Below are 14,758 nucleotides of genomic sequence, written 5' to 3'. Positions count from 1 at the left end.
CATGGATCCTTTGGAACTGGATACAGAGACTGCGGAAGGCTAATCTTGGCAATTTATGATTTTTTTTCCTTTTTTTTTTTTGTTTTGAGATGGAGTCTCTCTCTGTCACCCAGGCCGCAATTTATGAATTTTAAAAAGATTGACCATGAATATTTCAGTTGAATTATATGGAATGGTTGTCTACTTGTACTCAAGCATTGCCAATTCGTCACCTAGGACATTACTTTTCAAAGAAGTGTATCTCAAGATAAATTCCAAATATGAAAATCAGTTACACATCATCAAATTTCTTTGACTAGCAAACTTCTCTCATGCTTTAAAAGTATGGTTTGACATATTATTGGCATTTAACTTTTGGGGATCATTGCCTCTGTAATACATGGGGCACACATACTCGTGAGCAAACAGATGAGCTGTGCTTACCTCTTTGTGGTCTCCATCTTGGAGGGGTCCGGCAGGGAGGAGAGAACCAGGGACTGGAAGCTTTTCCAGTGCATTATTCCGGGAATAATGTCCTGTAAGGAAAGTCAGCACATGGGAAGCAACTGTTTGGTGAGGTAAAGTTTCTGAAGGACTTTTGTTTTATTCAACTATTTTTCAGACTTAAAAGGCTAAGCACCAAAATCTGTAATTTCATTCAGTTTGAATTTTTCTGAAGCAAAAAGGCAATTGCTTCAGCAAAGCACATTAAACAGTGCAACACAGAATTAGAGACAAAGGCGAGGTTTGCTTCCCTTGCTTCATTAGGCACTTGCACAAGCAACATGTCCTCGGGATGGAGGGCAGCTGCGGCCTTAGAATCTATTTTGTTTATTGTGAATGTGATGCTAATGCAACACTTGGAGAGGATGGCAGTTCATCCAGCAGCACTCCAGGCAGGAGAGCTGCACACGCGCGCCACGTGGGAGGCGAGCGCTGCAAGGAGACCCCCGGCTGGGCTGAGTGCAGGGTGCATGATAGAGGCAGAAGGGAATGTGGCTGGAGAGCCAGGCAGGTCACGAGGGCATTGTGGGCCAAGCTAATGAGCTTGGAGCTGCTACAGCAGGCAGCGGGGACCCACGGAGGGCTTTCGAGCAGGAAATGACAGGATCAACTCGTGCATAAGGAAGATTTCTCTGAAGGGAAGGCTGACTGCAGCAGCAGTGGGCCAAGGGCTAGACTAGAGGGAGGTCTGCACATCAGTGTGTCAGTGGCACACCGGTGCCCGCCCCCCCACCCCCCCGGGGTGGTTAGATGAGGGGAATGGGGGAGAAGGAGGGAAAGGATCTCATGGGTAACTACACAAAGTCCATAAAACAGAAAGGCAAGTAGGTGACACAGGAAGAGGAGGCAGTTGAGGGTGTGGCTGGTAGAAGTGGGGAGAGAGCTCATAATCTGAGTTAAGGGTTAATTGAGCTTGAAGGGCCTGAGGATAATCCTCAAGGGGTGTCAGGGGATATTCAGGTCAGGGTGGTTCCCTGGGGGGGAAGTAATTCCTTGGAGCCACTTCTTTGCATGTGTCACTCCACTACTTTGTCCATTCTGGTTTCTACACTTGGGGCCAAAGAGAGAGGAGGTCAGACCAACGGTTGTGCATACCGTGTGGCTGTTTTTACATGATTGAAATACAAACACGTGAACATTAGGTGCAGCCTTCCAGAGGAATGTTGACAAAGGGTAGCAGGCAGCCCGAGAGGCAGGTGTGGTCAGGACAAGGCGGTGCGGGGTCTCCACCTGTACCCCTTTAGGGCTGGCGGTATGAGGGGCGGTGTTACCATTCTTGTTCTGCAGCTGTGGCGGCAAACCTTTGTCGCAATTCCAGCTGTGACCCTGTCCTTGTCCCCTGCCCCTCCCTGCAGCCCAGGGTCACTCTGCCAGTGAGCCTGGTGATGACATTACCGTGTGATGGAGAAACTGCTTTTGGGTGACAGGAATGCTGGACCCGTGGCGGGACTCTTTGGTGAATTTGTACTTGGGGTGAGAGCATAGATGGTAATCTATCAACGTTTCTGCATAGGTCAGAGGATGCATTACAGCAAATAATCCTGGGTTGGGATTCTGCCGAAGACAGGGAAAAAATATTCTTTTCTGTTTACCAGTTTCTAAGCCAGGCATAGGACAGGCATCAGCTAATGCTGTCTGTGGCTCCCACTAGCACTAACACTCTGTGACTCCATGTCAGCTTGTCTGGAAAAGAGAAGCAGGAGAGCAGAGGTGTCTTCAAGTCGGCAGCGTTTAAAAAATCATAGTCATTCATAAATGTCACTTTTCTGGCTTAAGAGCTTCATTACAAACCATATGGGTTTACTAAACTCCCATGAAAATAAGTACAACCGAAATCACAGCTTAAAACAGCTTTGAGTATTTGTTGCTAATGCTGATGAATTAGGGGGAGTTATTAAATGAGCACACTGGTTTAAAAAAGCAAATAAGCTTCTGCTTTTGAAAACAAAAATAGGCTTTTAAAAGCTACTTTAAAGAGATGACAAAAAAGAGGATGACATTCGATGTATCAGGAAATGTCAACATTTAACATTGTTTTGGTAATGTGTTTGATTCAGGAAGGCTCCATTTGGAAGTAGTATCTGGTTTTAAGGGAGATCCTGTTTTTTATTAATTTTCCAGCAGAACTAATGGAGGCACAGAGCAATTATATCAAAATACTAAAATATAGAGCCTTTTACTGTTCTCTCAGAGGCTCGTAAAACAAAAACCCTATTCTTGTCCCAAACAACGTAGCGCCCCTCCCTGCCAGCTGTTTAACCTCAGATGTTTGATGTTTAATAACCACTACACTGAGATTCTGTTGTTTGTTTGTCTAACTTTTAAAAACAAGTTAAAAACGCCCCACAAAACCACTTAGCTTATGGAAACTCAATCTCACTGCCAAGAAACAAATGTCCCCCCAAACTTAAGTGACATGCAGCTAGACCTGAATGCATTCCGGCACCCAGATGCAAGGTAGGGGAGGGCCCAGCGGTGGTGAGTCAAGAAGGCTGGAAAGGAGGTAAGCGTTGGTGCAGAGGCTGCTATGCCACTTGAGGGCCAGGATGAGGGCCTGGGGCAAAGGTAGGGAGAGGGCTCTGGGCTCAACTCCTGGATATAAACGAGTGGGGAGGGCAGGAAGGCAACGATGACCACTGAGGGGATCTGAGATGCCCACAGTAATGTGGAAACAAGCATACACCTTGGTAAGCACTTGTGGTTGAGGCAGGATTTAGGGAGGCAGTGTGATGGGGAGTGGGGCTGGGCCCACCCTATGGGGATAGTGTGAGGGCAAAGGTACACAACACCAGGGGAGGGGAAATGACCTGTGTGGGCTTCAGGAGTGTCTTCTACTCTGGTTGACTGAGGGCATGTGAAGCTGCCATGTGGCCGCCTCTCTTGGTCTGCCTTGGGCCAGGCGTTCATGAATGCAGTCTTTGTGGAAATGGCAATGGCACTGTCTCCCATAGTTGTCATCCTTCAGATCCCCATTGCTCCCAGAGTAACTGGTCTCAGTGGTCACCCCATGATGCTTTTAATTTTAATTTTCCTAAACTAACGCATGCATGTGGTAGCGACTCACCTCGGCTGCAAGGATTTGTGAGGAAAAGCAGTGGTTCCGCAGGCCCTTCCTGTTCCCAGGCCCACATCCCAGAGGCTGCTTCTTTCCCTTGTTTCTGGCTTTTGTGACTCTGGTGGTCACCACCCTAACTCTAAACATCATGCTTATTCTTCCACTTCTTGATTGTCAACCTCAGGCAGTATCTACTGACTCATTACTATGCAAGACAAGGACTTCGCTTAGGTACACAAATGCCCCTTCCAAACTTCTTTCCTATTTTGAAGATTACATTATTCTGCTTTTGCTCACCATTGTGACTTGAAATGGTACACACATACCCCTATTTCTTGTACATCATCTTTAGTTGAGTATTTCAACTCCCCTTCAGGTGAAATCAAAACATCATTCTTCTGCTTTTCTGTACCTTTTCTTCTTGCTTTCACAATTTTCCTTTGATATTGTTGAGATTCTTAACATTTGCCTTCCGGAACTACAGCCAAGACCTTCATGCTTTGCTCATGGGTTGTCTCTAAAAGTTGAAAACTAATAAGTAGCATTTACTCTCAGCTATGTAAATATGTTTCTCTTCCAGGCCAAGTAGAGGCTTGGATTACGGGTTTGGCTTATTTACTTATTTATATTTTGGCTAAAGGTTCAATATCATGACCTCTGGGCCACCGTTAGAGAAGAGTTCTGGTATCAAGGCCAAATGGATTATATTTTTAGATTTTTCCATCAGCTCTTAAAAATCATGTCAAATTTTAGTTTGGTTTCCTATTTGGAGCACATACTGATGTTCAGTTGATTTCCCCCCTTGTAGATTATAATTGCTTCTTCTTTTCTTGATGTGCCTTTATGCAATCCTTGAGTCTTCGAGACTCTCAACTGCACTGTTAGTGCTTGGAGCCTACCCTTTCCTAGACACCTCTTTCTCAGAGCCCTTTACCCTCCCTCCTCCAGACTGAATGACCAGAGATCAGCCCAAGACTTCACTATAATGCTTCACCGGTTGTAACCACTACAGTATTTCTTTTCCTTCCTTAGGGTCTCCTAATTCCTACTTTTACTGCTGTACTGATGTATAGTTGATGTATAATAAATGACACATTTAAATTACATAGTTTGATATAACATTTGTTTCACCTGCAAAACCATTGCCGTCATAAACATAATGAACATTTCCATCACCCCCAAGAGTTATTTCATGCCCTTCATCATTCCCCCATCCTCACTTCCTGCCCCTCCACACCATCCACCCAACCCATCCACAGGCAGCCACCAATCTTTCTGTCTCTGTAGATTACTTCAGATGTTCTAGACTTTTAACTAAATTGAACAAAACAGCATGTAATCTTTTTTGTCTGATTTCTTTTACCCAAGATTTATATGTTTGGGAACATATAAATCTGCTATGAATATTCTTGCACAAGTTTAATGCTTCTATTTATCTTGGGTGAATAGCTAGGAATGGAATGGTTGGACATATGGTGGGTGTATGTTAACTGCTAACTTTGTAAGAAACTGCCAAACAGTTTTCCAAAGTAGTTGTACCATTTTACATTCCCACCAGCAGTTTTTCAAATTGTAGGTGTTCTAACAGAGAGATCTCATTGACGTTTTAATTTGCATTGTTAATGATGTATTATTCTGTGCATCTTCTCGTGTGCATATTTGCCATCTGTATATCTTCTTTGGTGAAGTATGTGTTCAAATCTTTTGCCCATTTTAAAATTGGATTGTTTGCTTTCTTATTATTGAGTTCTGATAATTCTTTTAAAAATTATTTATTATATGGTGGTAACAACACTTACCATGAGAACTACCCTTTTAACAAATTTTTAAATGTGCATTATTGGCTATAAGTGCGATGTTGTACCGCAGATTGTGAGAGCAGATTTGTCTTTCTTGACTGCAACTTTATGCCTATTGCCTAGTAACTCCCCGTTTTCCCCTCTCTCAGCCTCTGATAACCATCATTCACTCTTGATTATGTCAATCTGGCTATTATCAATATCTCATATAAGCAGAATCATACAGTATTTGTCTTTCTGTGGCTGGCTTATTTAGCTTAGCATAATGTCCTCAAGGTTTATCAATGCTGTTGCATATTACAGTATTTCCTTCCTTTTTTAAGGCTGAATAGTATTCCACTGTCTGAATATGCCACTTTTTTTATTCCATTCATCTGTTGATAGATTTTTAGATTGTTTCCACATCTTAGCTATTGTGAATAGTGCTGCAATGAACATAGGAGTGCTAATATCTCTTTGATATCCTGTTTTCTTTCTCTGTCTTTATTTTTTGAAACACGGTCTTGTTTTGTCACCCAGGCCGGAGTGCAGTGGTGCCATCATGGCTCACTGCAACCTCGACCTCCTGGGCTCGAATGATCCTCCCACCTCAGCCTCCCAAATAGCTGGGACTACAGGCTTCTGCCATCACACCTGACTAATTTTTTGTAGAAACAGTGTCTTGTTATGTTGCCTAGGCTGGTCTCAAACTCCTGGGCTCAACTGATCCTCCTGCCTTAGCCTCCCAAAGTGTTAAGAGTACAGGCATGAACTACCATGCCTAGCCCTGATTTTAATACTTCTGGAAACATATCCAGAAGTGGGATTGCTGGATCACATTATTATTATTACTGTTATTATTATTATTATTCGAGACAGGGTCTCACTCTGTTGCCCAGGCAGAAGTGCAGTAGTGAAATCACAGCTTACTGCAGCCTTGAACTCCTGAACTCAAGAGGTCCTCCTGCCTCAGCCTCCCAAGTAGCTAGGACTATAGGCATGTGCCACCACACCCAGCAGATTGCTGGATCATATGGCAGTTCTGTATTTAATTTTTTGAGGAACCTCCATACTATTTTCTACAGTGGATGCACCATTTTGGATTTCTACCAATAGTGTGTAAGGATTCCAATTTCTCTACATCTTCCTTAACACTTACTGTGTTTTATTTTTTTGATAATAGCCTTCTTAACAGATGTTAGGTAATATCTCATTGTGGCTTTCATTTTTTTTCTGAGGATTGGTGGTATTTTTTTCATATAGCTGTTGGCCATTTATAAGTCTTCTTTGGAGAAATGTCTATTCAAGTTTTAACCCACTTTTTAAACTGAGTTATTAGGTTTTTTTTTTTACTATTGATTTGTAGAAGTTTCTTATATATTTTGGTATTAACTCCTTATCAAATATATAGTTTGCTGACTATATATTTATTTATTCTGTAGGTCACTTTTTCATTCTGTTGACTGTTTCCTTTGTGAGTTTTGACAGTTCCTTATATATTCTGGATACAAGTTCTTATCAGATATGCAATTTCCAAATATTTTCTCCAAGTCTGTAATTTATATTTTTATTTTCTTAACATTAACAGAAATTCTTAATTTGGACAAAGTCCAATTAATCCATTTTTTTTTCATTTATGGATTGTGGTTTTTTGGTGTTTTATCTAAGAAATCTTTGTCTAATTGAAGATCACAAAGATTTTCTATGTGTTTTCTAGTAGTTTTATAGTTTCAGGTTTTCTATTTAGGTCTATGATCCATGTTGTATTAATTTATGTAGATGGTGTGAGGTACTAATTGAAATTTTTATTTTTGTTTTTGGTAAATAGATATCCAAATGTTCTAACATTATTTGTTGAAAGATTATCTTTTCTCTAATGAATTACCTCTGACCTTTGTCAAAAATCAGTTGACCATAATGTATGAATGAATATATTTCTGGATCCTCTATTCTGTTCCATTAATCTGTTTATTTCTCCATTTATTTAGGCTTTCTTTGAGTTCTCTCAGTAATGTTTTATAATTTTCAGTGTACTGGTCTTATACATTTTTGTCATATTTATCTCTAAATATTTCATGTTTTGATGCTATTGTTAAATGATATGGCTTTTGAAACTTAAGTTTCAGAATGTTTGTTGCTAGTATACAGAAATATAATTGATTTTTATATGGTGATTCTGCATCCTGCAATCTTGTTAAATTCCCTTATTAATTTTAGTAGTTTTTTTTGTAGATTTCATTGTATTTTCTAGATAGACAATCTTTTTTTTTTTTTTTTTGTAAATAAAGACAGCTTTATGTCTTCTTTTCAAATCTGGGTACCTTTTATTTATTTTTCTTGTCTTGTTACCTTGGCTATACTTATAATCCTGAATAGAATTAGTGAGAGCAGACATCCTTGCCCTATACTTGATCTTAGGAGGAAGGCATTCAGTGATTTACTACTCCGTTTGATGTTGGCTCTAGGTTTTAAATAGATGACCATTATTTGGTTGAGGAAGTTCCCTTCTATCCCGCACTTGCTGATAGTGTTCATCAGGAATGGATGTTAGATAATTTTTCTGTTACTATTGAGATGTTTTTCCTTTTTGGTGTGTTATATGTAAACTACAGTGAGTTTGTAATGTTAAATTAATCTTGTATTCCTGGTTCAAGCCCCTATTTGGTTATGATACATTATCCTTTTTATATAGCAATTAATTTGATTTATCAAAATTTTGTTAAAAATATTTTCATCTATGTTCATCAAGGATATTGATCTTTTCTTTTTTTTCCTGTAATATCTCTGTCTGGCTTTGGTATCAGAGTAATACTAGCCTCCAGAATGATTTGGGAATTAGTCTCTTCTCTTCCATTTCCTGGAAGAGCTCGTGTAGATTTTGTATTATTCCTTCCTTAAATATTTGGCAGAATTCCCTAGTGAAGGCCTCTGGGCCTGGAGGTTTCTTTGTGGGAAAGTTTTCAACCAAAAATTCAATTTCTTTAACAGATATAAAGCTATTTTGGCTATTTATCTCCTCTTAAATAAGATTTTACAGTTTGTGCCTTTTAATGAATTTGCACATTTAACTTAAGTCATCAAATTTACTGGCATAAAGTTTTTCATAATATTAACTTCTTATCTTTTTAAAATCTGTAGAATATGTAGTGATGTCATCTTCCTCATTCCTGACATTGGTAATTTGTGCCTTTTGCCTTTTTTCCTGATCAGTTAGGTTACAGGTTTATTCATTTTATTGATCTTCTCAAAGGACCAGTTTTTCTCTCTATTGTTTTTCTGCTTTCTATTTCATTTGATTTTCTTTTGAGATGGAGTCTTGCTCTGTCACCCAGGCTGGAGTGCACTGGCGTGATCTCAGCTCACTGCAACCTCCTCCTCCTGGGTTCAAGCAATTCTCCTGCCTCAGCCTCCTGAATAGCTGGGATTATAGGCAGGTGCCACCGCGTTTGGCTAATTTTTTTGTACTTTTAGTAGAGACAGGGTTTCACCATGTTGGCCAGGCTGGTCTCAAACTCCTGACCTCAAATGATCTGCCGGCTTGGCTTCCTAAAGTGTTGGGATTACAGGCATGAGCCACTGTGCCCGGCCTATTTCATTGATTTTCAATCTGACCTTTATTATTTCTTTTTTCTGCTTAGTTTGGTTTCATCTGCCCTCCTTTTTCTAATTTTTTAAAGGGGTAGCTTAGGACATTAACTTGAAACTTTTCTTCTTTTCCAATGTAGGTGTGTAGTGCTGTTAATTTCCCACAGATTTTTTGTTTGTTTTCATTTTCATTCACTTAAAAATACTTGCTAATTTCTTTTTCAATTTCTTCTTTGGCCTATATGTACATATTATAGATATTTAGAAAAGATCATAAAATTATTTTCATTAAAAATGCAGGAATTGCTAAAAGACGGAATCACTGATATTCTCCAAAAAATAAAGGTTGGCAAACAATATTAAAGGTCAGATATTGTTTAACACTTGAAATTCCAAAGAGAAAAAATATTCCCAATGAGTGCTCTGTTTCCTATAGAGTAATTGCTGAAATAAAGGAACACAGAAAACAAGGCTTCTGCCAGTTGTCACTTACAAAAACATACAGAGGATCATAATCTAGAGACATGGCTAAGGCCTCAGGTGGTTTCATGCTCAAGACTGATGTTTTGCCAGAGAGCTGAGTTGTGGAGTCCTGTTTCGGAAGGGCTGTGATGGTGGTGACTTCATCCTAACAAGGAGCAAGGACAGCACGTTAGTTTTGATGCCAGGATAAGAGGGAAAAGATGAGAGAGATTCTGGAAGATGGGGGTGTGTTACCTCAGCTCCTTGCTTTAGGGCTCGGGCAAGCTTTTGAGGTCTGTAACTTGTTGAAGACTTGTGGACAGAGAATGGCTGATATCTCTTAATTTTGTACAGTTGAGGAACCTGAAGGTGAAAGAAGATTGAAAATCCTTAAAAACCTGTTACCATTTGGTGGGATCTACTTCTCAACAACAGCATTTCCGAGCTTCCTGGTGGTAAAAGTAAGACAAGCACCATGTTGTAGTCATCGGATTGTGGCTATTGTTGGTTTGGACCAGACTGCACAGACTTTAGTGAAAGTCCTGAGCCCTGTTCTGGGTTTCAGCACACATGAGTGTTCATGATTACTCAACCATACTACACGGCTTAAGTGTAGAAGCACACCAAAATATTTTCATTTTAAAAAACAGAAGTGGTCATATACCTCAAGAAAGGCTGACTAATTTTTGCTCACTTTATCTTATATTTTTTCTTGAAGTTTCTAACATACGTAGTTCAGATAGCTTCATATATGCATGATATAGGTATATCCACAGAGTAGAAATCCTGGTTTGCCTAAGCCACACTATGAGAAAAGAATCTGCTGTACCTCCCATATGCCATCCAAAAACAGTAGAGTGTGCCACACAGTCTAATCTACCATAAAGCAAAACTATAAAACACTGCAATTCAAATTCAAGAATATTTTGTTTACTTAATAAGAAACTCAATTAATTAATTTATGTGACAGGTCTGACCTGCAGATTGAAGAAGGAATAACTCTGCTTGATTTGAACTTCTGAAGACTTAATTGGGACCAGTCCAAGGCCATCAGGAGCCTAAAATGTGAAAGGAGAAAAAAAGAGAACAATCACCACTGAGCAAGAGTGGCTATGCTTCTGTTTCCACTACATTTTGAAACATTAGTGACCAGTTCTACTCTCAGAGCAACTCCTCCTGCAACCACAGTTGCCACTTGATCTGTAGGGCAGGAAGGCAGCCCTGATCACCCCCTCCTCCATGTCTCCTAGTGGATGTGAGTCTCTTATTTTCTGTGGTTGCGGAGGCTGCAACGTGTCACTCAGAAACTTCCTCAGGCTTGAAGGACTCAGGCTTGAAGGACTCAGTCCCTAGCTGCCAGGAGTGTAGGGATAGAAACACCTCTTGGGGGCAGGGGAGCCCTCTTCAGGGGCTGCCTCATCTGAACGGCACTGCATCAGTCAGAGTCAAGCGCTCCTCCCAGGCAGCTCACCTCCATGGCAGGTTGAAGCCACGGGAAACATGCTGTGTCCTCTCACCCTGTGCCAGCCTCAGAGTTCTCACAGGCCCAGCTGAGGCCTTTGTTGAGGTGGACCCCAGTCCTACTTCTCTCTCCACCCAATCCTGTCCCCTCTATCTGCCTTCCACAGGTGTGAACCCCCGAAGAACTGCCTAATACACTTCCTGCATGCTAGTCTGCCTCAAACACCCAGAGGATCTGGATGGTGCCTGAATATGACAGGCACTCAAAAAATAGCATACAACCCCTAATCTAATACACCATCACTAAACTAATATGATGAAACGTTAATATGCCACAATGACACCATTTCCCAATTTTGAGATGCTAAATGTAAGAAAAAGGCATCTTACAATTGATGAAATACAGTATTTATAAAATAAATTAATTCATTCTTTTTTATAGACAGGAATGCTGAGCGCTCTATTTTTCAATAACCCTGAGCAGCAGAGAAGTCTTTGTAGCACTAAAATATCAAATGAAACATATCAGCTTCAAATTATTCAAAAATAATGAGGGGGGCTCCACTGCACAGTGAGGATCTCTTTCCACCCCATCAACCTCTTCACCCCATTAATTATCGAGTGTCAGACATTTATTGTTGCTTGAAAATCACAGGATTTTTATTCTTTAGGAACTAATTATTCTGCTCTTTTAAGTCACACAATTATCAAAAGCAGAAAACATGTGGAATTTCTAAATTCAGTCCCGTAATTCTTGAGTAGATTACCTGCAATGCTTAACAAATATTTTAGAATGTGAATGACAAGTTTATTCTTTGAAATTGACAAAATATTTTGCACATGCACTTGCAATATTGATTTGAGTATACTTTTTATTACTAACGATGTGAACTCGAGCAACATTTTGTTACTGGCTATGTGAATTTGTGCTTCAGTTTCCTCATTTGAAAAATGGTAAACCTATCAGGTAGATTTGTTGAAGATTAAATGAGATGAACCGGAAGGACTTAAGACACTGCCTGATGTATAGTAAATACAACCTAAGGGTTAACTCTCACTTTTTCAATAATGCACCATTGTGCCCGAAGGGAAGAAGGATGAGCCATTATACCTCCTGCTACCCCAAGAGAGAAAGATACACACACACACACACACACACACACACACACACACACACCCCCCAGAGAGAGAGAGAGAGAGAAGTGGGTTGTGAGTCTGATGGGTTAGATTGTCAGTTTCTGGGGCCACATTCCCTTCTTATGAGGTCAGGCCCAGACTTGAGGGCTGCCCTTCCCTGACTTCTACCATTTGCCCAGGCAGCAGAAGGGCCAAGCTGAGCAGAGCCTGCCTCCCTGGGCCAGGTGGGGCCCTCTCGGTTCCTCTCTCTGCCCTTCTGCACTCAGGCGCAGTTCCAGGGCAGTTGGGCGGGGGTCAGTGCTCATGCTGCATTTCAGGCTGGGAAGGACCCAGTCCAGGTTACCAGGGAGCTCTGTGCAGGTGTATCAGGAGCAAGGCAGATGGCAGGAGATGATCCCTGGTTTTCCACTGGTAATACTCTCCTCATCTTCCTTTGGAGCCTCTGGGAGGAGGTGAAGGGACTGAGACTGAGGTAGGGCTTGCCTTGTATCTGCCCAACACGATCATGATCATGTCCACTCCCCGCCCCCAAGCCTGACGGCACCTACCAACTCGTTGGAGTCCTGGGGTGGGCTGCAGTCTGGGAAAGCGAAGGGCAGCACCTCCTTGGGCGACACAGAGAACCGGCTGGTATAATCATCCTGACTGATCCGCCTCAGGAAGAATTTGAAGAAATTCGCCTCTATGGGTGAAAAAAAGGGCACTTTTAGGGGGTACTAAAGGTATTTTTATGGGAAATCACCATATATATTTGCATATTTTCCATATACCAATTAGTGGGTGGGTGTGTATATATATATATATATATATATATATCCACTTTTACTGTCCCATTGGTTCCTTACCTCAACCTCCTTTCTGGTTAAAAAAATTTTATCTTTATTTCCAAAAAACTATAATTCATAATTAAAATATTTCTGATGAATTAAGCAAAGAAAAAGATTAAAGAAGTAAATGAAGACATTTTCTACACAGACCCATGGAATTCACAAGTAAATTTTATAATTTTTTAGAAAAAAGAGTTTCTTTATTAGAAACTTCAACATCAGAGATAAAAATTAATATAGGAGGAAGAAAGAATCATTAAAATGTTGTACAATATTTTGAAAAACAAAATACACATTTGGGTCTCAGTGGAGTGGCAGACGGGAGTGTGGTTGTGCCTAGGGAGGATGGGGAAGGCTGAGCCAGGCTCAGAGGCTCAGGCCAGGAAGGGAGGAAGAGTCTGGAAAGATTAGGGCCTGCTTGTGGGCTGGCAAACAAACTGTGGATTGGGAATATATGTATTGGGAGAAGATGGCGATATGGTGTTTGGGCTCCCAGAAGCTACCGAGAGTGGGCCTCCAACAGTCCCAGCCAAGCTGGGCATCAGAGGATTGGAATTCCTTTCTTTTTTTTTTTTTCAGAGACAGGGTCTTGCTCTATCACCTGGGCTTGAGTGCAGTGGTGCGATCATAGCTTACTGCAACCTTGAACTCCTGGGCTTAGCTGATCCTCCCACCTCAGCTTCCTGAGTAGCTGGGACTACAGGCATATGCCACCGGTCCTGGATAATTTTTAATTATCCAGGGGTCTCACTATGTATGTTGCCCAGGCTTGTCTCGAACTCCTGGGCTCAAGTGATCCTCCCACCTTGGACTCTCAAAGTATTGGGATTACAGGCATGTACTACAGTGGCCACAGTGGCCAGCATGGAAATTTCCTTAACTTAGGGAAAGACCATACAAGATTAAAAGGCTTAATGTGCAAATGCTAGGTTGAGAAAATACCAAATTCAGCCAGTCAATCAGCAAGTATAAATGATGACTACCCTAGTCTCTGGTGACAAGAAGAAGCAGAGGGCACAAAACAGGAGGTCTAGTCACAGCCAAACTTCACAGACATTACAACTTGGTATGGGGTTGGGGGACCTTGTTCATTATCAAGTGGGTAGGTATTTCAGCCAAACCTGGCACAGAGATCCACTTTATATCATCAGATAGGCTGAATAATGGCACTCAGAGGTACCCACATCCCATTCCCAGGGGCCTGTGAATGTGTTATCTTCCATGGTAAAAGGCACTCTGCAGATGGGGCTCTGTGATGGGGGATTATTCTGCACTAGACAGGTGGGCCTTATATAATCAGAGTCTGCATAGGAAGGAAACAGGGGAGTCAGACTCACACAAGGAGATGTGAGGACAGAAGCAAGAGGTTAGAGTCATGTGGGGAAGGGGCCATAAGCCAAGGAATGCAGGTGGACTCCAGGAGCTGGAAAAGGCAACGACTTGGGCTCCCCTGAAACCCCTGGGGGGAGCGCAGCCCTACCAGCACCTTGGTTTTAGACTTCTGACCTCCAGAACTGTGAGATGATAAATTTGCATTCTTTTAAGCCATTAAGTTTAAAAGGCTTAATGTGTGAATGCTAGGTTGAGAAAATACCATATTCAGCCAGTCAATCAGCAAGTATAAATGATGACTAACCTAGTCTCTGGTGACAAGAGGAAGCAGAAGGCACAAGTGATTTGTTATAGCAAGGATAGGAAACTAACATTTGTGACTGGTGAAAATTTTTTATTTGCATAGAGCTAACTTCATTCTAAGGAAAGTTCACGCTCAGAGGCATGATCAGTCTCGGCATCTCTGTGCTTTGCAGCCATACTTCACCTTGTGCTATCGATTGTTTTGCTTGGCCAATCTTTCTCAGTATACTCTCTTTGTCCATTTCACGAACAGCACTCAGCATATTGAATAATCGTCCCTGAATCATGACCTGAAATTGGAGTGGATAATGATTTCAAATTATTAATCAACACAC

General features: G+C 41.3%; 1 protein-coding gene across 13 annotated transcripts in view, besides 1 other annotated feature; it reads right to left on the bottom strand.

Moving 5' to 3' along the window:
* CFAP221 (cilia and flagella associated protein 221) overlaps positions 1-14,758 on the bottom strand; it is a 115,875-nt gene that overhangs the window by 20,028 nt on the left and 81,089 nt on the right. For 9 of the 13 annotated variants that reach the window (NR_073132.2, XM_006712353.4, NM_001271049.2 and 6 more), the window contains 7 exons: positions 14,608-14,713; positions 12,510-12,643; positions 10,341-10,421; positions 9,619-9,726; positions 9,395-9,529; positions 1,879-2,037; positions 424-515 (listed from right to left, as the gene is read on the bottom strand). Coding sequence is in view for 9 of the 13 variants with exons in the window: in XM_006712353.4 (XP_006712416.1) it covers positions 424-515; positions 1,879-2,037; positions 9,395-9,529; positions 9,619-9,726; positions 10,341-10,421; positions 12,510-12,643; positions 14,608-14,713 (815 nt within the window). In the remaining 4 variants the exon portion in view is untranslated. Of the gene's footprint in view, positions 1-423; positions 516-1,878; positions 2,038-2,075; positions 2,167-3,950; positions 4,056-9,209; positions 9,530-9,618; positions 9,727-10,340; positions 10,422-12,509; positions 12,644-14,607; positions 14,714-14,758 lie in introns of those variants that run through there. The other 4 variants (XR_922883.4, XM_017003558.2, NR_073133.2 and 1 more) reach the window with 4 other exon arrangements.
* Positions 9,886-9,995: a silencer, noted in NCBI's record as "silent region_11909". NCBI's record gives its function as "represses an Ori minimal core promoter by ATAC-STARR-seq in GM12878 lymphoblastoid cells {active_cell/tissue: GM12878}" and the evidence as "EXISTENCE:reporter gene assay evidence [ECO:0000049][PMID:35858748]".

This window comes from Homo sapiens, chromosome 2 (genome assembly GCF_000001405.40).
Source record: "Homo sapiens chromosome 2, GRCh38.p14 Primary Assembly".
NCBI lineage: Eukaryota > Metazoa > Chordata > Mammalia > Primates > Hominidae > Homo > Homo sapiens.
This window is presented reverse-complemented; position numbering and strand designations above follow the sequence as displayed.